At 41.2% G+C, this 20,952-nt stretch overlaps 1 protein-coding gene across 8 annotated transcripts in view, besides 1 other annotated feature; it reads right to left on the bottom strand.

Annotated features, from left to right (window-relative positions):
• The window catches only part of SEPTIN11 (septin 11), a 90,403-nt gene that overhangs the window by 36,428 nt on the left and 33,023 nt on the right, over nucleotides 1–20,952 (bottom strand). For 4 of the 8 annotated variants that reach the window (XM_017008403.2, XM_017008404.2, NM_018243.4 and 1 more), the window contains exon 2: nucleotides 7,188–7,302. In XM_017008403.2, coding sequence (XP_016863892.1) covers nucleotides 7,188–7,302 — 115 coding nt within the window. Of the gene's footprint in view, nucleotides 1–7,187; nucleotides 7,303–7,788; nucleotides 7,947–15,856; nucleotides 15,919–20,952 lie in introns of all 8 variants that reach the window. The other 4 variants (XM_017008401.2, XM_017008402.2, XM_047415959.1 and 1 more) reach the window with 2 other exon arrangements.
• Nucleotides 9,167–9,316: an enhancer, noted in NCBI's record as "active region_21633". NCBI's record gives its function as "activates an Ori minimal core promoter by ATAC-STARR-seq in GM12878 lymphoblastoid cells {active_cell/tissue: GM12878}" and the evidence as "EXISTENCE:reporter gene assay evidence [ECO:0000049][PMID:35858748]".

The raw sequence follows: 20,952 nt of genomic DNA, 5'->3' as shown, positions 1-20,952 counted from the left end.
AATACAAAAGTGAAGGAGGATGAAGTCTTTCTGGATTTGAGCTTTCTCTGATTAGAAAAGCCTTATATGGCTTGCCTGTAACTATGATGATTCACTTATAGGATAAAAGTTGGTCAAGTATATTCATCTTACTCTTTAACCTTTCCTGTGTGTCCCTGAACATCTAAGATCACAGAATTTCCTCTTTAGTCAACCATCATTCAGCCAGTATTTTTCCAGTGCCTACTATATACAAGTTCTGTGCCAAGTTCTGAGAATTCAAGAAACTAGCCTGATAGGGTGTTCTCCCACATCTTAGAATCTGGTCTAGAACATGACTGAATAATACCAGTCAGACTCTAATTTATAATTATGGGAACACCATTCTAAGTGTTTGTCATAACCGCTTTCCTCTTATAAGCAAGACCATCCTTTACATCCATGGCCCTGCTAGTTGGCCACAGACAACCAGACCATGGCTAGGTCCCTGACCTCAAGGCAACAACAGAAGCCCAATCATTTCACTATGAGCTGGGGCTCCACATTGGAGAGTGGTCTATCTAATCACAGTTTTTCTCTTTGGGTATTTGAATGAGATACATGCAATCCCCACACAGCGTGATGGCATGAAAAAGAAACAATATACAAAGAGAGGTAAGTAAGCAGAAACCATGAGGCAGCAAAGGCTGTGTAAGTAAACAGAAGCCATGCTGCAGACAGAATGTAGGCTGGGAATACAGGAAAGAGCAGATAGATGGGGTAGAGCATCGGAAATCCATCATGAAATTAATGCTTGGGCGCTCACTGTGTGACAAGCATAGGTGCAGGGATGAAGTAATGAATAAAAACAGACACTGACACTGTTTGCACGTTTGTAACATCCTGAATGTCATTCCAGATCTCTATGGGGTCTGGCTGTGCAGCAGTTGAGACGGTTTCCTGTCTTCCTTACTTTCCTGAATAGTCTTACAAAAAAAAAAACCCTCCATAAAAGCAATATAAAACCAGTCTCTGCTCCCTAACCTGAAAGAGTTTAACAAGTTCACACTCACCATTCATGGCTTAACAAATTAACTTTGAGCAAAACAAAGTTACTGTGTAGTGGATACAGAAATAAAACAGAGTTCTCACTGCTAGTCAATACCGAAGGTACTTGAGTCATTTTAAGTACATGCTACAAGTGTAACATTCTCAAGCAGAGCCAACTTCTTTTCAGGATTTACCTATTTTTAGAACACAAAAGGCACAGAAGCAGATCTGCCCTATAAAAGTTTCTCCTTCATGGGAAAGGCTCTGTCAGTAGAAAGTGACCTACTTAACTTTCATCTTCTTCCCTAAGAATAGCAATAAAGACTTCAATTACATGGCAAGCATTCCAGGTTACCTGGACAAGACTGAAATTATCATCTTATTTTACTAGGTTGAAAATTGCTTAAGCACCCATGTGAATCAGGAACACCATACTTTTTAAAGGCATGGTAATTTTAATTATCATTTACATTAAGGTGGAAATTACAAACAATTAGCATACCAGGCCCTACTTACAGCACAGGGTTAATCAATGGGTTGAAAAAAACCACTGTTCCTCTAAACTTTGGTGTGCTTTGCTTTCCATTTCTATGGTCTGTGCTTTTAAGAGCTGTAATTAGACACGGCAACTCCAGCAGCAGTGTGATTCACCAAAAGCAGTTCAGCAGGAAATGACAGCTTTTGGAATAAAAGGAACTCTAGAAGAACTAGGGAAGTTTTTCAATGCATTAGCTTTTTTTCTTTAACAGACAGGGTCTCACTGTGTTCCCCATGCTAGTCTCAGACTCCTGGGCTCAAGCAATTCTCCTGCCTTGGCCTCCTGAAGCACTGGGATTAGTTTTTGAGGCTTCTCTCTAATCTTTGTAAGCGGAATCTCATCTATATTTTTGAGGACCCATAAGACAAAAATTTCTTTCTAACTGAATAACTAAAAGCCTACTAGGCATAGGTTCCAATTCAAACCAAACAACCATAACAATATTTTCAGAAAAGTCAATGACTAAAGTATTTCAAAACTCCCTAGCAGAATGCCTGGCACAAAGGAGACATTTATTAAAAGTTAATTGCAGGCCAGGCACGGTGGCTCACGCCTGTAATCTCAACACTCTGGGAGGCTGAGGCAGGCGGATCACCTGAGGTCAGGAGTTCGAGACCATCCTGGCCAACATGGTGAAACCCCGTCTCTACTAAAAATACAAAAATTAGCCAGGTGTGGTGGTGGGCACCTGTAATCCCAGCTACTTGGAAGGCTGAGGCAGAAGAATCCGTTGAACCTGGGAGGCGGAGGTTGCAGTCAGTGGAGATTGAACCACTGCACTCCAGCCTGGGCGACAGAGTGAGAGACTCCATCTTTAAAAAAAAAAAAAAGTTAATTGAAAACAAAAATGATCATGGTGATGATTTATACAGAGATATGCCACTGTGATAGATTTTTTTCAGAGTTTGTTGTTTATTTTATCATAAATTCATCTGCCTAAACACTCTATTGCTACAGTAATTAGAGACCTTATTAAAGTGCTATCTGGGACTTCTGTTTTTCCTATTCCTGCCAATGCTAGTAAACATGATGCCCACATCACAGGGGAAAGCAGTCCTACCTTTTCCATTCTATCCTCAGGCTTATTTAACCTACGAGCTCTAAGGTGAACAAGGCGGGGGAAAAACAGAGGGATTGTATTATTAATTAGAAGGTAACGGTAGATTGAACAAATTGTTGATCTGTGATTCAGCATCTTTCACTCTAATTGCCAAGACTGGCTACTTGAGTAAGTAACTGTGCATGGGGATCTGCCTGCCTTCCCTAATTATTCTAGATTTTACTCTTGGATGGAATCAGAGAGTCAGAAAGCTACATACCTAAGTTGCGTTGTTCTTGTTCCTCATAGAATCACCTTTGATGAAACATACTCCGGCATAAGATGAGCCAGCGTGTGGCACCTGGCATTTCATTAAACAATTGCACTGACTTAGAGGATGCCCAGGAACCCAGACCACTACATACACCAAATCTCTTTTCTGAAAATCCATGGAGAAATTTTTCCAGGTAAAGCTGTGTTTCATCTGGAGCAATCATTTTGTTTTTACTTTATAGATACTATAAATCTGTCGTATGTTAAACTTTTTGCTTGTGTTTAGCATATAACACATGCTCACTAAATATCTGCTAATGAATGAGTGAATTAATAAATTTTCTCCATGCTCTGACCACTAAGCTGAGAGAAAAATGTAATACTTCATCAATTAATTGCTATAGGCAGGCCTGATGGCACACTTTGAGTACTGACTCTATCCCTGGCTTCACCTTTATTTTCTGGGGTTAATTTTATCTTCATTCGTTTTACCCTATAAGCCATTTACATCCTTTCCTGGAAAAACAAGACGGGATAAAAATGTTTAAGATTTGATTATAAATTTCCACAATTTATGTTGACACTATAGCCTTGGCTAAGATGGCCTTACACTTACCTGTTTTCAATTCCTGTTCTCTCATCCCCTCAAAACAATTAAGGTTGAATTGTGGACAAATTTTCTATTTCAAAATGTATTACTAATTTACTTTGACTCTACTATCAAACTGGTTCTTCTTCAAAAGCAGAGATGTTACAGTATCTTATTTTCACCTTTGTATGTTTACAAGACAGCTGGATCAATGTGGATGAGGTTTTTTCGTAGAGTTAGTATCATTTTGGAAAATGGATGAGAAAGACATACAAATTTAAAATTATGAAAAAAGGCTAAATGCTAATTTAGATCTAATTTAGATTCTCTGGAGAATTACAGCATGGGTAAAATATGAAAGGCTTTATTTAAACTAAAATGTGGCTTCAGGAGTGATTTAGGTGTGTTGTAGCAAAACAGAGAGAAGGGGAATGATGAACTCCTGGGTGTTCTGTTATCTCATTTAACATCAGAATTCTCTTCCCAGTGAAATGAAAACTATTCTTCCTCTATTACATGCCTTCCCAGGACCAACAGAGATGGGTTCTAGCAGCATACATTTAATTCATTATCTCTGAAACTAGACTTAGTTCATGCCAGGACCATTTTCTGCCCTGTTTTATTTCCTCTGCTTTCTTTCAACCTACAGGTTCACGCCACAAAACAAAATTACAATTCTGAGACATTTTTGGTAAAAATTTTCCTTACCGGGATCATAATTTTATTTTTTTTATCCTTAATTCCCTCCCATATTTACCACAAAAATGTAAATTCACGCTATAAATATCACACATGTGCATACTGTGCAAAAAAATACAAATGGGCAGTAAGAGGAAGGGAGTAAGTAAGGAGGAAAAGTTACCATGGATGCTGTTAAGTTAAATATAACACCTCCTCCTCTACGAGGCCGTCCAAATATTTTGATCTACTTTTTATAGACTCTTATTTTAAAAATAGATGGACCATTGATTGACAGTAAGTTTTTTCTTATAAAGATATTATGCTATAAAATATGTATGGCAACGGGATTTGATATTCAACTCTCTGAGGATGATATTTAATGCTGACACTCCTATCTCCCAAAGAGCTCACGCTGGCCCCAAACAAGGGGCTCCAAAGGGTTATGGAAAACGACCTGGAGAGTTAGATATGCTGACAACGAAGGATATCCAGGATTCCTTGTGGAGCGAAAAAAGGAAAATGCACAGGATGAACAACATGATCTCATTTGTGTAAAAGCAAAACAAGAAAGCACCTATGTAACTGTGAGAAAGCTGTTTTTATCTGTCCAGTGTGTCTCTCTCCCAAGCCCTATCTCCTTTCTGATCCTGTCTTCTTGCCTATGGGGAACCTTGTATGTTTTGGAGTGAACTGACTCCATCTTCCCCCCAGGCTGAGCATGTAACTAAGTCCTGGCCAATCAGTGAAATCCTGACTGTTTGGTGAGACGTGTCAGGAATGCCTTGTTCCTTCCCCTGAGGTTGCTCGGCTGGTGATGCTGACAGAGCCAGACTGCTGTCATGAGGAAAATGCCTGAATGTGAAGCAAGCAGAAGCAGGATCAAGAACCACAGACAGAGGCCTGATGGGGCTCGTTGAACCCCTGCAGCCAGCTGCTCTTAATTACCCAATTCATGGTATTAGCTTTTCAGTGTGTGTTGGAGGGTGGGGGAGAGTCTTAACTGGGTTTAAGCTGTATTTCTGCAATTCTCTGTGGAAAATTTCCTGACACAAGAATACTAAAAGAGCGATGCAACGTGACTGGCTTTGAGAATGGATGGAAGGAGCCAAGAGCCAAGGAATGCAGGCAGCTTCCAGAAGCTGGAAAAGGCGCGCACTCTCCCTAAAGGTTCCAGGAAGGAATGCAGCCCTGCGGACCCATACTGGACTCCTACCTACAGAACTGTAAGCCACCAAAAGCAATTTCCTAATACAGAAAGATGTCAAAAGTTTCTAGAAGGATCCCACAGTGTTATCTCTGTGAAATGGAAATGGGGGTGGGAGATGAAAGGGAAGTGTTTTATAACATTTTAAACAACAAATATATATTATGTTCATTAGTTTGAAAAACTAATTTTAAACATGTTTAAGAATAGAACCTGACAAATATCTAAGAATCACAGGTATTGTAACCCACCCAGGAGACTCCAAATAGGGCTGCTTTACACATCTAACAGGGCAGCATCAATTTGGTCTCTGAGGAATTCAGCATCTGAATTGTCTTATTTAACACAAGGAGTCAGCCCCTCAGCCAGCACACCCCACTGCACACCACATACCCAGTTAAACCAGGATCCCACCAGAAGGCTTTCCCCTACCGTCCCCTGCAGGAGCCAGGACAGAACTCTCAGACATGTTCTTAGAGCTGATTTTGGAGACAGGGCTGGGGAGGCACTGAAGAGAAGCCAGAATAGTAATTGGCCTGCGATTACAATTTAGCATACTTTTCAATAGAAACCCAACAAATTGCCAACAAATTGCTATGCTAATGAAGAATTGCCCTGCTCTGCAATGAGCATTTATCATGAGAGAAAGGACAACCCATTCACGCCACTCTGTAGAACTAGCTGCCATTCGGGAGGTCTCCTGCTGAATTTTAAAAGGCTTCACGTAGGGAAAAGGGGAAAGCATGAGATGAGAGTTGGCTGTGTTCTCTCCAGTCTTTCTCTTATCCAGTGCTTAAGATACAATGCCAGGGAGCAAGTTGGTGTAGCGTGCCTGCCAATTGTGGCTTTCTACTAATGAATGCCCAGCACAGAGGCTACATGCAGTAGAGTCATCAAGAAGTTCAAGAAGTTTTTAAAAAAGAAAAATATCTGCACTCCCCCCAACTTCCATAACTGACAAATAAGCAAATGGTGGTTCTCACATTGAACACACACCTTTTCTAAATTCTCTTTGCTTTACTTGGACAAGAAAAGTAAGTCTGACACATTCTGCCAAGCTTAGGGAAAAGACAGTCCACTTGGCTACATACAGAATTCTTTGATCTGTCTCAAAGTGATGTCTCAGAGGGAAATGCCCAGAGGACAATGCCAACAGATCAACACAGCCCAAACCACTTCACTGCTGTTTCACCTGCCATTCATCAGGCGTGATGGGGAGAGAGAGGAACAGCCATCTGTTCCACACACACTTCTCCTTCAAACTAACAGGAAATTTATATTTTGATTTTCTTTATCCCCCTTCCTTTCCACCTTCCTCTTCTTAGTCCAAAAAGGATATGGCATACAAAAAATTAGCTGGGCATGGTGGCTACTGTAATCCCAGCTACTCAGGAGGCTGAGGCAGGAGAATTGCTTGAACCTGGGAGGCAGAGGTTGCAGTGAGCCAAGATCGCCCCACTGCACTCCAGCCTGGGCAACAGGGCAAGACTCCTCAAAAAAAAAAAAAAAAAGATATGGCTAGAGGGGTGAAGAAAAATACCAAGGCAGAGGCCTAGTCCAAAGTAAAATGTTTAAGGGATCTTAACAATATTGTAATGATCAGTTGCTTAACTGTGTGACAGAAATACTAATAGTAATTTGAGTAACATGACAAAACATACAACGCATTTACCTAAATACAGCTCTCAATCTTTATAACTTGTGACATGTATAAGGCAGATATTTTGCCTTGTTTTACTGATGAAAGAAAGAGAATAAACATGTCATTCTTATTTCACTGAAGCATGTCTCTCCGACAGTTACCTGTCAATATCTAAGGATCAAATTTCTTGCTGTGGGGTGATGAATAACTTACCAACACAAAGGATGTTGAAACAGAATCCTTGAGAAGTAGACTTGTTGACCAGCTGGTCAGGGAGGCTGTCAAATCCCACATGGCCAGACAAAGACAAGTTTCGAAGCTCTTCATTCTGCAATTTCAGGGGAGAAAGATTTGAGTGTCCATGAACCATGCCACCTGGATATCACATATCACAAACATTACATTCTTTCTTCTTCTTCCCTTGACATACATGGAAAAAGGAGACCCTCCACAGCTGCCTTGGCTTCTACACAGCTGAGGGCACTAACAACTCCAAAGCCAAGCTCTTTCCACAAAAGTCACAGTCTCCCAAAGCAGACCATCTCCCTGAGCATCTCATTCCTTGTTACAAGTGTACTGGTCCAGGGAAATTTGAGCTTCTAGAGGTGACTATTTCAGATATGCATTAAGTGACCAAAAAAACACAAAAACCTCCAGTCATTTTGATCACTTTCATTATTCAAGAAAAGCTTTCAATTTACTGTCAACTCATAGTGAAAAAATATTTAACACTCTTCCAGATACATAAAAGAACTTTGAAAAGCTCACAGTGGAGGATTCATACTCCTTACAATGATGACAATGCTCTACCTACCATAAATGCAGCATATTTAAAACTTCTCAGCACATGAGCTGGTTTCCTCTCCTCCATTAGTTTTACAGGTTTCTTGAGTCTTCTTCCCCCTCTTCACCCTGTAGCTCCTAGCACAGGCTCTGTAACTGCTGGAGTTTTGCAGAGTTTACCGATGTAGACTAGGGTAAGGTAGTTATCATACATTTTAAAATCACATAGGATATGGCTGGAAGCTAAAGTAAAATCACTGGGTGATTTATGCTGTTATATAAAATGGTACTGGCTGCCCCCACAACTTTGAATGCATCCCGTGGGTGTTGGAGATAATCTGTGAAACCTTTTTTTCTCAAGATGCAGAGATCAGCTACAGTCCCTCAGTTATAATATCATGGTTATGGTTTGCAATTTCAGAAATTAGACACTGAAAGTCTTCTCCTTGGAGACAGGACTCCTAGTGTTCTGGCTGTGTTGTCAATGAACTTTATATTCAAAATACTGGAGTCCAGGTGAGAAAATGATCCTCAAAGCTCCATTTTTATTTTTATTATTTATTATTTTTATTTTTATTATTTATTTTTTGAGATGGAGTCTCACTCTGTCGCCAGGTTGGAGTGTAGTGGCACGATCTCAGCTCACTGCAACCTCTGCCTCCTAGGTTCAAGTGATTCTAGTGCCTCAGCCTCCCGAGTAGCTGGGATTATAGGCACGCGCCACCACGCCCAGCTAATTTTTGTATGTTTAGTAGAGACAGGGTTTCACCATGTTAGCCAGGCTGGTCTTGAACTCCTGACCTCGTGATCTGCCCGCGTCGGCCTCCCAAAGTGCTGGGATTACAGGCATGAGCCACCACACCCAGCCATTTTTTTTTTTTTTTAGAGACAGGGTTGCACTGTCACTCAGGCTGGAGTGCAGTGGTGTGATCATAGCTCACTGCAGCTTCAAACTCCTGGGCTCAGCCAGCTTCAGCCTCCCAAGTAGCTGTGACTACAGGCATGTGCCACCACTCCCAGCTTCAATGTTCCATTTTATTTAAAAAAAAAAAAAAAAAAAAAAAAAAAAGCTTTGTACAGGATCACTTAGTCAATGTTTTCAAAAGACTGGTTTTCATCATCCTATTTTTATGTTACATAATCAAGAGGGTGATTTCTTTTAACAAGCAAGGACTAAGACCCCATTTCAAATGTTTGTGGTCACTATATAGGCACAGAAATGTGACTCCAGAAATGCAGTGATTTTAAAGGACTTCAATGGTTTTATTAATAATAAAATGTCTAAAGTCCATATCAGCTCTAAAATTCTGATTCTGTGAAATAAGACTAAAAGCCACCACACTGCCTGAATACCATGGTGGCAGCTGCAGATTTGAGGTCAATGGGACAGACAACAGATGTCTAGTCTATGAATAGTTTCCTTGAAACCTGCCAACAGTGAATATGAGACTCAAGAGTAGGCACTTATCCTTGACCAGGATGGCATGGTAGGCAGCTCACCAAACAGCTTCGAGGGCAGGCCCCAGTGGGCAGCAGTCCTTGTAGCTGGGCAAGCCTTCCAACAATACTGTACTTCTTCCAGCCCCAATCCTTGTACCTGCCCCTTCCTCTTTAGATACCTCAAAGGTTCAGACAGCAGGTGTTTTTAAGGTGTTTACCACATCCGCCAAGACTTGGGGGAGGAGGGTTTGAAATGAGTCCTGGGTTATTTTTAGAACTCTTTCCACCTAGCTGTGCAGTAGCTGTTGTGTATCAGGCTAGGAGAAGCCATGGCACCAGCCTTCATTTCTGCTACATCACTGACTTCAACCGTTCGTGAACGGTATGAAAGAGACAACGCAGGGCAGAACTATCATCCCACATTCCCTCTCTCCACCGCCACATAATTCTGTTAATTTCAGGGGGAGGGGAGAATGGTTTATTGCTCTGGATTCTGGATCGCTGGGTTTTTAGATACCAGATATCCACCTATGAACCAATCCTGGGAAAGAATCAGAGTTAGTAATTATAGCTCTCATCCCAGAACCCAAAGCTCAGCATCTCATATTCTCACCGTTTCCAAAACACGAGAAGCCACCCACACACCCACTAAGTATTTTTATACCCATTGAAAACCACATACAAAATGAAGGGTTATAAAACAGTTTGGTCTTGACATTTTTGAAATTTAAAGTTGTATCTTTAGAGTCTGTCTTCTAACACTGTAATATAGAATATGTAAATTTTATAATACAGTTTTTACATTTCATAATTTGAGCCTAATTCTCTGCCCAGTATTAAAGGAAACCTGAGAGTCACTGCCCATCAGTATGTGATGGGGGAAAGGGAAAAAGAAGTTCCTTCTCTGGTTTATGAACAGGCTTAAAAACTGGAGAGAACGGCACTGGAGGACATGCACAGGGCAGCTCTGAGCACCTTACCCAGTGCCTCCAGCACAGCAGCTGAACCGCATCCCTCCAGTCCAGCATTTTATAGCTCTTCCCTTAGCTACCACAAGCCAAGGATTGAGGGGTCTTTTTTGAGTCTCCAGGCCCAGTTTCAGGGAACTGCATATATTCCATGTCGTTAACACTAACACATCTGGAAACGACTCTCTGAATTTATCTCTAATATTGAACTCTGCTTGGCATCCAGTTCTGAATTTCTATCAGAGGAACACTTCTCTTGGGTTGTCCCATCTGTACTTCAAACTTGATGTTCATGAAACTGAAATCATATTCCTCTATCCCAAACTCGCCCCTTCTCCAGAGTTCCCTATTTCTGTTAACAGTACTTAGCCATGCTTGAGACCAGCTCCCCTCCCACCATCAACTCTGAAGTCTTATCAATACTACATCCTCCACATTTCTATTCCTACTAATTCAACAGCCTCCCAACTGGCCTCCCTGACTTGATCTCACCCTCTCTAATACTTCCTCCCTCCACCTTGCCATCAAGGGGATCTCGGTACTCAAGGTCCCCAATCCAAACTCCTTGGCCTGTCATTTCAGGGCCCCATGGGCTAACCTCAAGTCTCCATTCCTACTGAACCTCCCACTTCTCCCCAGGGAGCACCTTACACTGCAGTTAAATTAAATGACCACTCTTCTTGGGACAAACCCAGGTTTCTTCCCATCAGAATTTACTCACATTATTTCCTCTATGTGAAAGGCCCTTACAGCCAGTGTTTACATATCCAAATCTTCCAGATCCCAATAAAATTATACCTCCATCATTGTCTTTATTATGAAATCTTGGGGAAAATTTCACCAAACATTCTTCTGACCAATAAAAGGAAAATACTGATTGAAAAGCTGCTCAAGCTATTTGGAATTCCATCATGATAATAACAGCTAACATTTATCCCTTCCAATGCTCCAGAAAAGCCCTAATTTCTCTCTCTTAATAATTCTATAAATTAGTTACATTGTTACCCAAACTCAATTTACAGATGAGAAAACAGAGGCACCGTTTAGTAACTTGCCCAAGGTTTCCCAACTAGTAAAGTCAAGGTGCTGAAATTGGAACCCAGGAAGTCAGGTTCCAGAGTTGTCGAACATAGTCATTGCTATCTCATGAAACTGAAATTTATCTCATGAACTGAATATTAAGTTCCCAGGTAGCCCCAGACAGCATAATTATTTCAGCTGTTATAAAAATCCAATACATTAAAATAGAAGGAAAAAAATACTCTGAAACCATGATTCTCTGGCAACCTTAAGAGGTGGAAATTGAGAATTAGAACTGGCAAAGTAGCTCCAAGTATATTTTCGCTGATCCTGGCAATGCCAAGACCAAATATGATTTTTGTAGTGATGGCACATGAAACCTATAATATAATGCTTAGTTTTAACCATTTTTGAAAAGAAAGTGCCAACACAGAACCACTAAGTAAGTAACTATAAGACCTTAATTGATTTAGCCCTGCATTTGCTAATCTACCTAGTAAGGATTTGTAATTAGGTAATTTCTATAGCCCACTCCATCTTGAAATGGATTATGACTAACCTTTATGGTATAAAATAAACTTGTTTTTCACTTGACAATTTCACTTTTCTCTTTTTAGAACATATCCTCTTAGATACAATTATTTATTTGTTCATTCAAAAATACCCACTGCTCAAAGCACTAAGAAAGCTAAAATAAGTTATTTTTATAATTCATTGAAGAACACTGCAGTTCCGACCCTTAAGAGGTTTTACAATGTAGTAGTAGAGCTAGGACAGATGTAAATGTAGGACTATGAAGGATAAAAGTCATCAATACCATGGCGTCAACTACGGGAAGGCATGGAGGAGAAGTAGTTTTTGTCTAGGGAAATTCAGGGGGTACCTTTTAGGAAAGCTAAAGTTCCCCAAATCTATCAGTGAAACAAAAGCCCAGCTTGCAGAACCCTTCTGGATAAATGTTTCTATGCCCAAAAGGTCACTTTCTTATGAATGTATACCTGAAGTGTATAACTGGTAGTTTTTCAGAAAATTCCCAGCTGACTTCATTATTGAGATAATTATAAAACAAATTATGTAAGAATGTGTGCCACCACCTACATTCTGAGCGCTGCTGTAAAATATGTTCCACAATTCCAAATCTTGCTTCACCAGAGAAGGGCAGCAAAAGGCTTAGAGTCAGACAGACATGGGTTTGAATCCCAGCTTTGCTTTCTACTTGCTTTAGTCTCTATTCTGCCCTCAGTAAAAACAGGAAGAGGTGCTAGGCTCTCTCATACATATCTCCTTGGCAGGGTTGTTGGGAGGAGATAAAGAGGTATGGATGAGAGTGCCTAGCACTTAACAGGTCTTCTGAAACTTGGACTTCCTTTACCTACAGTAGTTGGGAGGAAGAGGCAACTATCATTTAAAAATCTGAAATTAATCAGAAGTTCTATTACAGCTGCTAGGCATTCCAGGAGAAGCTGCTGACCAGCAGGGCTCTCGGACATATGAATAAGGTAAAATCACAATAAAAATAAAGTGAACAGAAAGAAATAAAAAACGAGAATGATGATTCTAGCCTGAAGAAAATCCATTCCTAAAGAGAAAACTCATTTACAAAGCTGGAGGAAAAGCCACAAAATCACATTCCTGTTTGCAGAATCAGCAGTTAGCAGAATCCACATCCTCCCCAGCTGGGAAGCATTCTGGATTCCCCATCACTTTTGCTTCTGCAGTCATGCACCACTTTGTGATGAGGAAACATTCTGAGAAACATGCCAGTAGGTGATTTTGTTCTTGTGTGAACATTCTAGAGCAGTGGTCCCCAACCGTTGTGGCACCAGGGACCAGTTTGTGGAAGACCATTTTTCCACGGACAGGGTTGGTTTGGGGATGAAACCGCTCTACCTCAGATCTTTAAGCATTAGATTCTCATAAGGAACGCACAACCTAGATCTCTCCCATGCACAGTTCACAACAGGGCTCAGGCTCCTATGATAATCTAATGCCTGAAGCTGATCTGAAGGAGGCAGAACTCAGGCGGTAATGCTGACTAGCCCATCACTCGCCTCCTGCTGGCCAGCCCAGTTCCGGACAGGCCACGGACTGGTCTCAGTTGGCAGCCTGGGGATTGGGGACTCCATCCTAGAGTGTACTTGTGAGACGTGAAGCCAGCTGGCCTTCCTGGGTCGAGTGGAGACTTGGAGAACTTTTCTTACAAGAGGATTGTAAAACACACCAATCAGCACTCTGTAGCTAGCAAGAGGATTATAAAATGCACCAATCAGTGCTCTGTAAAAACACACCAATCAGTACTCTGTAGCAAAAGGATTGTAAAATGCACCAATCAGCACTCTGTAAAACGCACCAATCAGGAGGAGTCTAAAAGTAGCCAATCGCGGGGAGGATTGAAAAAAGGGCACTCTGATACAACAGAAACAGAACATGGCAGGGACAAATAAGGGAATAAAAGCTGGCCACCCAAGCCAGCAGCGGCAACCCGCTCAGGTCCCCTTCCACGCTGTGGAAGCTTTGTTCTTTTGCTCTTCACAATAAATCTTGCCGCTGCGCACTCTTTGGGTCCGTGCCACCTTTAAGAGCTGCAACACTCACCATGAAGGTCTGCGGCTTCATTCTTGAAGTCAGCAAGACCACAAACCAACCGGCAGGAACAAACTCCAGATACACTTACACAAACCTAGATGGTATAGCCTACTAGACACTTAGGATATATGGGATAGCCTATTGCTCCTTGGCTATAAACCTGTACAGAATATTACTGTACTGAATGCTGTAGGCAACTGTAACACAATGGTAAATATTTGTATATCTAAACATAGAAATGGTACAGTAAAAGTGCAGTTTTATAATCTTACAGAACCACGGTTGTATATGCGGTCCATTGTTGACTGAGAGTTTGTAAAGCAGTACATGACTGTATTTTAATCCAGCCCTGGGTCTACTGAAATTAACAAGCTCGGTGTGCCCAGATGGATTTTATTCACCATACTTAAACTGAAGTGATATCCCTTTTCTTTACTTTTAAAAATGAAGTGTTTCGGTAGATGTGGTTAGATAGGCCGTAGCCTCTGATCCTTATCAGCAGGCGGAAGCAAGACAGCATGTTACCAAGGTGATATTTGAATTGTTTAATCCAAACAAATTAAAATTACGTTTCCATTCGAAAGCAATATTTAATTTTTACCTTTAAAATCAGGTATTACAATTTAAGTTTAGAAAGATTTTTCTCTTTAAAATTTATTTTTTTTTAAATTTAAGAGATAACATTTATGTATTCAGGTGGAGAGCTGGAGATTTTTATTAACAAGACATGGTGATTACATTTTTCTCAACGCCTCAGATTATGGATAAATAAAGTATACTGATCCAAGTCACTTAATCCTCGGGCTTATGTTTCCTCCTCTGTAAAGTGAGGAGATTTAATCAAATTACCTCTAAACAAAGTCTCTGGTTCTTTGTTTTTTCTAATTCTAAGGCTTCTTAATCTGGATGTTAGAGATGCATAAATCCAATTCCGTCATTTTGCTTAAGGAAAGCCAACACAGGGTGAAAAATTCCTGGAAGCATATTTGCTCTGGCCAGATCAAGATGGCTCAAGTTTTAATTGACCCATGAAAGGGAGTTTCTATCAGTTATGCTGGGAAACTCCAAACCAAATGGAAATCTGTGTGCATAACCTCTGTGTTTTCCACCTCAACTTTTAATTTCTGCTTAACTACAATACATATGAATTAGCTAAGAAAGTTATGTACCCACTGTTTACAAATGCCCTGCTTAAAAGCAATTTCTTTTTGTTTGGCTACATCTCCAGTCATCCACGAGATTTTTGAAAAGTGGATTTATATCCTCAAAACAAAACCTAGGGCTGGGCGCAATGGCTCATGCCTATAATCCCAGCTACTTGGGAGGCTGACGCAGGAGGATCTTGCTTAAGCTCAGGAGTTAGAGGCTGCAATGAGCCAGGATTGTGCCACTGTACTCCAGCCTGGGTGACAGAGTGATATACTTTATCTCCAAAATAAAAAAACAAACAAAAAACCTAGGAAATGACTTCTCTGTATAAGTTAGTTATCTGTTCTCAAAAAGAAAAGCAAATCTTTATTCATGCTTTCATTCATTCAGCAAATATTCATCGAGTACCAGTGTGGGTAGAACACTGTGTTAAATGCTAAGGATACCATGATGAAAAAACAAAGCCTCCCCAACTCATGGAGCGTACAGGGTAATGGGGCACACAGATGTCAATCAAATAGTCACAAATACATAACCATAAAGCTATCCAAAGGACAGGATGCTGTGTAGCCTTATAACTCATGTGATTAACTACTCATTCTTTGAGTGAATTCACCAGCCTATAGTATGTAAAAATATGTATTAGTCCAAAGCACTGTTGAATATTAATTTAATAGGCGGCCCCTGTGTACAGCTGATGTGCAGGTTTCACATATTCAGATGAAAACAAATAGTCTTTCTGAGCAGCAGTACCTGATGGGAGAAGGTAGAAATATCAGAACTCAGGTTTCAAGGGAACAGATGTCCAATTTTAAAGAGAGCTGAGATGAAACCATGGGGCAGCAGAGGGCAGAGGAGACATGTACAGTACACTCCTTTGAGCTCTGTCTTTTCTCCTTACAGAATACCCACTTGGAAAAGAGAAGAAGTACATACCCCTTCATCTTAGGTCATGTCTTTTTCTGAGGTCCTATTTCAGTAGTACAGACGCCTCTGAGCTGAAGAGAGGTAAAGAAAAGAACATGCTGTCTCGCACACAAAATCTTTGACTGACCACCAGCCACCTCCCAGTATCTGGAGAAATTCTGGCCTCACGAACTGTCCGCAAAGTAAGTTTTATTTAAGTACCCTGATTAATCATTTCTGTAGATACACACTCTTATCTGACTGCATTCTAGAAAGTATTGAATTGGTTTCACATTCTCTTTTAAAAAAAGAAGGTTAATGGGAAGATGGGAAACGCCCTTAGTTCTCATGCAAAAGGGAAAACACTGGAATGCAAAGTTTTGACCCAAACCACAGCTATGAAGCCAGCATCGGGATGCTTTCAAAGCTAAGCATTGCTGGGGTAACTTTCATAATATAAAATGTCTGGACCATCTCATTACCAATGAGAATTGCATTCTTTAAAGATGATTTGAACAACATTTGCTACTCTGCTTGTCATCTATACCATGAAATCCCATGCCTAGAGCCAAGAAAACCCCCAAGGAAATTGTCTCACACAAGCAGCAGAACAGAGAGCGCCAGGCGGCAGTGAGGAACTGTTAAGAGAAAAACCATATGGTAATACAAGGAAAGAACAACTTCTCAGTGCGGCCCAGCTGGAAGCTGAGACTAAGGAGGAGCATCCAGGAGCCAGCCCCTAGGTCACAAAGCCAGGTAGATAAGCTCAGAATGCCAAACCCAGGGAGCCACTCTGGAAAACATATCATATAACCAAAAAAGCACTTGATTAATACTGAATAATTGTCCCAATTCCAAGTGCTATCTCCAAGTAACTTTCTCCAGAAGACTCCCAGTAGAGGAACACATTTTGCTTTTCCAGATCCTTACAAAATTAATGCCGTGTGGGGGTTTTCTTTGGGGCTGGTAAGATTTTCGGGAAATGTTACCTTTTAATTGTTTTGTTTCTGTAACATTTGAATTATTACAAAAGAAAAAAAAGCTGTAGTTTTATAATAGAAAATATATAAGATTTTTAAAATCCAGGAACATCAATAACAATAATACTAAATAAAGATCTTTTTTGAGGAGGTAAGCCCACAATATTTATTGTAGCTAATAGGTAGGTTAACAGAGTAAAATAGGAGAACTTAATTTTTCTAATAGTAGAACCAAGTCATGTTGAAAGTGACAGGAGGAATCGGAAAAGTGGAAAAGTGTAGTGGAAGGTGCCCAACATGTGAAGTCAAGACAAGAGCACCTCTTTCATAGTTTAGCTGTGTGACCTAGGGTATTTAACTTTGCCTCAGTTTTGTCAGCTTTAAGACACATTCTCTCACAGGGCTGTTGTAAAGAATTAATTAACATATTTATCTTTTGTCAGCTCATTTTACACACTTTTCTTGCCCATCCTTGCCCATGACTTTAATAGCCAACCATAAGCTAACAACTCCCTTTGTCATGACCCACACAGCCCAATCTCCTCTGCTGGGCTTCCTACTGTACAGCATGGCCCAGGCATCTCTAAGCCAACATCTCGGTGGAACTCAGCCTATCCCCATTCTCAATTCAAATAAGTCCTCCTATTTTTTTCACGCCAAATAGCAGCAATGTCTACTTCAAGGTATAAGAGAGTCCCCCAGAATAACATGTATTAGCATGCATCTGATAAAATCTGCACAGTTATAGACCTCCACCCTCTTGCAGGAGAAAAAAAGCCCACTGTTTAATCAGCTTAAACCCTCCCCTATCCTCTGAATTGGACAGTGAAGACTTGAAGTCATCAGTATCATGTTAGCTTTTCTCCTCTGTGCCCTGATGTATACCTCTAACATTTGCTGGTCACCCACCACACTCTTTTCGGCCAAATTTTTCCCACTCTGCCCTTTGGACATAACTACAACCAGTCTACTACCAGCTGGTTTCCATCCCTAAGCCCTGAAATCCAATGACTAACTTTGATATTTCTCTTAACGCTGCCCTCATTCGACTTCACCAAAATTTGTAAGCGCCTTGTTGTTTCAACAGAAGTCATACTCTCCAACCTTCTCATTTTCAGATAAGGAAACAGGTACAATGGCTACTTGACTAGTGTTCTTTATGCATGGGCCAGGTGGAGACAGAGTGAGGCGCGGGAGAACCCAGGACCCTGGTGCCTGGCCCACCTTCCCTCCATTACACTTAGGCCCGCTTTGCAGATAAGAACTCACATTGGTTGTGGATGAAGCCGAATCTAAAAGGCCTGGAAATACCATGCTGCATTCGTTCTCGTTCTTCCACCTAGACCTGCAGCCCCCTTTCTGTCTCTACAGCCTACCCAGGTTTACCTGGGACTAGAGTTTCACCTTCATTCCATCAGAAATTAAATTTCTCATATGCCCTTAGGAAAAACGCTGTTGAAAAGCAGTCCCCAGAAACAGGTATCCGAAGTGAACAGAGCCCCAGAGCTGCTTACAACCCCAGATAGGGGGAGGAGGGGAATCACTAGCAAAACAGCATTTCAGCAAACAACCACCAAGTGTGAAAATCCAAAAACTGTACAAAGCTAGAGCACTTTTTTCTTAGAGACAGAATGTTTTTCTAAAAGTCTGTGTAAACTCTTGAGAAGTTAAATCTAACTGGATGCCAAGAATTAACAACAACAAAAAAGACATTTTCTTCAGTTTCCAAAGACCACAGTCTCTCTCTGAGCACAAGTGACTAATGCCTGTAACAGCCGAACATTACAAAGTGCTGACCAGCAGAAAGTCTGTTTGGGAATGACAAGGTCCACGTGTGCATTCCAGGGACGCTTACAGATTCTGCAGTACTCCAAGGAAGACAGGGTGGGAGGGAAGCAATGTGACAAATAGGCAAGAAGTATTTATAAAGGCACGACCCAATTAGAAACAGATGTTGCAGCTGCTCTTTCGCACTGGCCCACATCAGAGATGATGAAAAGCCCGTCACCCAGCAGCCACCTAGGAACACTAATGAGCAAAGCAAGCGGGGAAGTGGGGAAGAGGTCATAAACCATTTCAAAACCCTCTTGCTGTCCAGTGGGTCCCAAACAACCCAGTTCCATTTAAGACATATCACGTCTCTTGCAGAGCATAAAACCACCCACTTGTCTCACTGTTGTTTATTTGGGTCATTTTTGTCCCTCCTGCCCTGTCTTTATCCTATGGAATATCTTCAAAACAGTGACGAATAGGAGGTCAAATAGAATTAAGAGGCTCAAAGCAGTTGGAAGTTTTTTCCTCAACTTTTTATGTCCTGTGCTACTCATATTCACACATCTATTCCTCAGTATTTCCTGTTTGAGAAATATTGTGGCTCAGTTCATCTATTTCTATTCACTGAATGCATTCATCAGCAAATAATGAAATATGGATGGGACGCTTCCTTCCCGATGCCACCATTTCTATCACCGGATATAAATTAGCCACTTCCTTTCTGAAAGATACCATATATTTCTGTGCCTTTCTGAAAAGGCAGGGGATTTTCAGTTACAGTAATGGCCATGTGATGGCAGTCTCTGTGAGAGAAGAAAAAAAAAAAATCCAATCCAGTTCCAAGCAAGTCATGAACAAAAGCACCAGGGCTGTTTCCCCTAGTCACAACCTGGCTGCTTTCTCCTCCCAAGGCATGTTCAGTTCCTAATCCAGGCTGACCTAGAACATCTGAGTCCAGTGACACATTTCCAGCACCTGAAAATTGAGGAATTATACCAGAAATGACCAAAACCATGATACATATTGAGGAAATAAACATACCAATTAACATCTGGTCTTGCTCTACAAATATTACTAAACAATTATGGCCAAAATCCTCAAGTCTTCCTAAGAGTTCTTTTTTTCTTTTCTTTTTTTCCCTGAAATGGAGTCTTGCTCTGTCGCCTAGGCTGGAGTGCAATAGCGCGATCTCGGCTCAATGCAACCTCCGCCTCCAGGGTTCAAGCAATTCTCCTGCCTCAGCTTCCGAGTAGCTGGGATTACAGGCACCTGCCACCACGCCCAGCTAATTTTTGTATTTTTAGTAGACACGGGGTTTCACCACGTTGGCCAGGCTGGTTTTGAACTCCTGACCTTGTGATCTGCCTGCCTCGGCCTCCCAAAGTGCTGGGATTACGGGCATGAGCCACCACACCTGGCCTCTAAGAGTTCTACTGTGTCTTAATCTCAACCCTGGATAAAACAATATCAGGATGGAATAGGGGTTGTTTACATAAATGTGGGGCATGTGCTAGTTTTCTACTGCCATATAACAAATTATCACAAATTTAGTGGCTTGAAACAACATCCATTTATTAGCAGTCAGTTTCATAGGTCACAACTTTGGGCATGGTGTAGCTGGACTTTCTGCCTGGGTTATCACACGGCTGAAATCAAAGTGTGGGCCAAGCTAAGGAGGTTGTCCTCTCAAGGCTCTGGGGAAATACCCTCTTCCAAGCTCATTCCAGATGTGGGCAGACTCAATTCCTTGCAGCTGTAGGACTGAGGGCCTTCTCTCCTTACTCGCTGTCAGAGGCTGCACTCAGCTCCAAAAAGTCACTGACGGTTCCAAGCCACGAGGTCACCTCTGTCTTCAAAGTCAGCAATGAAAAATCTCCCTGTGTCCCTCTCACATGTCAAATATCCTTCTTCAGGAACAGTCTGGTCCCTTTTAAGGGACTGCTTAATGAGGTAAGGTCCACCCAGGTCAATCTCCATTTCTAAACGACAGCTGTGCCATAACCTACCTGTGGGAGTGATATTCACAAGTTCTGGGGATTATGCAGAGCGTGTACACCAGGGGGCTGGGATCTTGGGGCCATTTTCGGATTCTGCCTACCAAAGTATACATTATTTCAACATCCCTATTTCTCCTGTGTAACTTTAGGATAAGATATAATAATGAATATTGGCATTTCCCCAGCTAAAAAAAAAACAAAAACAAAAAACAACAAAAAAAACACACAACTGTCTCCAGGAGAAAAAAGATAGATATTAGTAAAAGCATGGTAAACTAGATCCCTCTCAGGCTACCAAGGCAAACCTTTTACACTGAATCTGATAAGGGCAGCTAACCACAAACTAGCTAGCCTTTGGAGGAAGCCTTCCAAAAAT

This window comes from Homo sapiens, chromosome 4 (genome assembly GCF_000001405.40).
Source record: "Homo sapiens chromosome 4, GRCh38.p14 Primary Assembly".
In the NCBI taxonomy this organism is placed as follows: Eukaryota; Metazoa; Chordata; class Mammalia; order Primates; family Hominidae; genus Homo; species Homo sapiens.
Note: the sequence above shows the minus strand (reverse complement) of the source record. Positions and strands in the feature narration are given on the sequence as shown.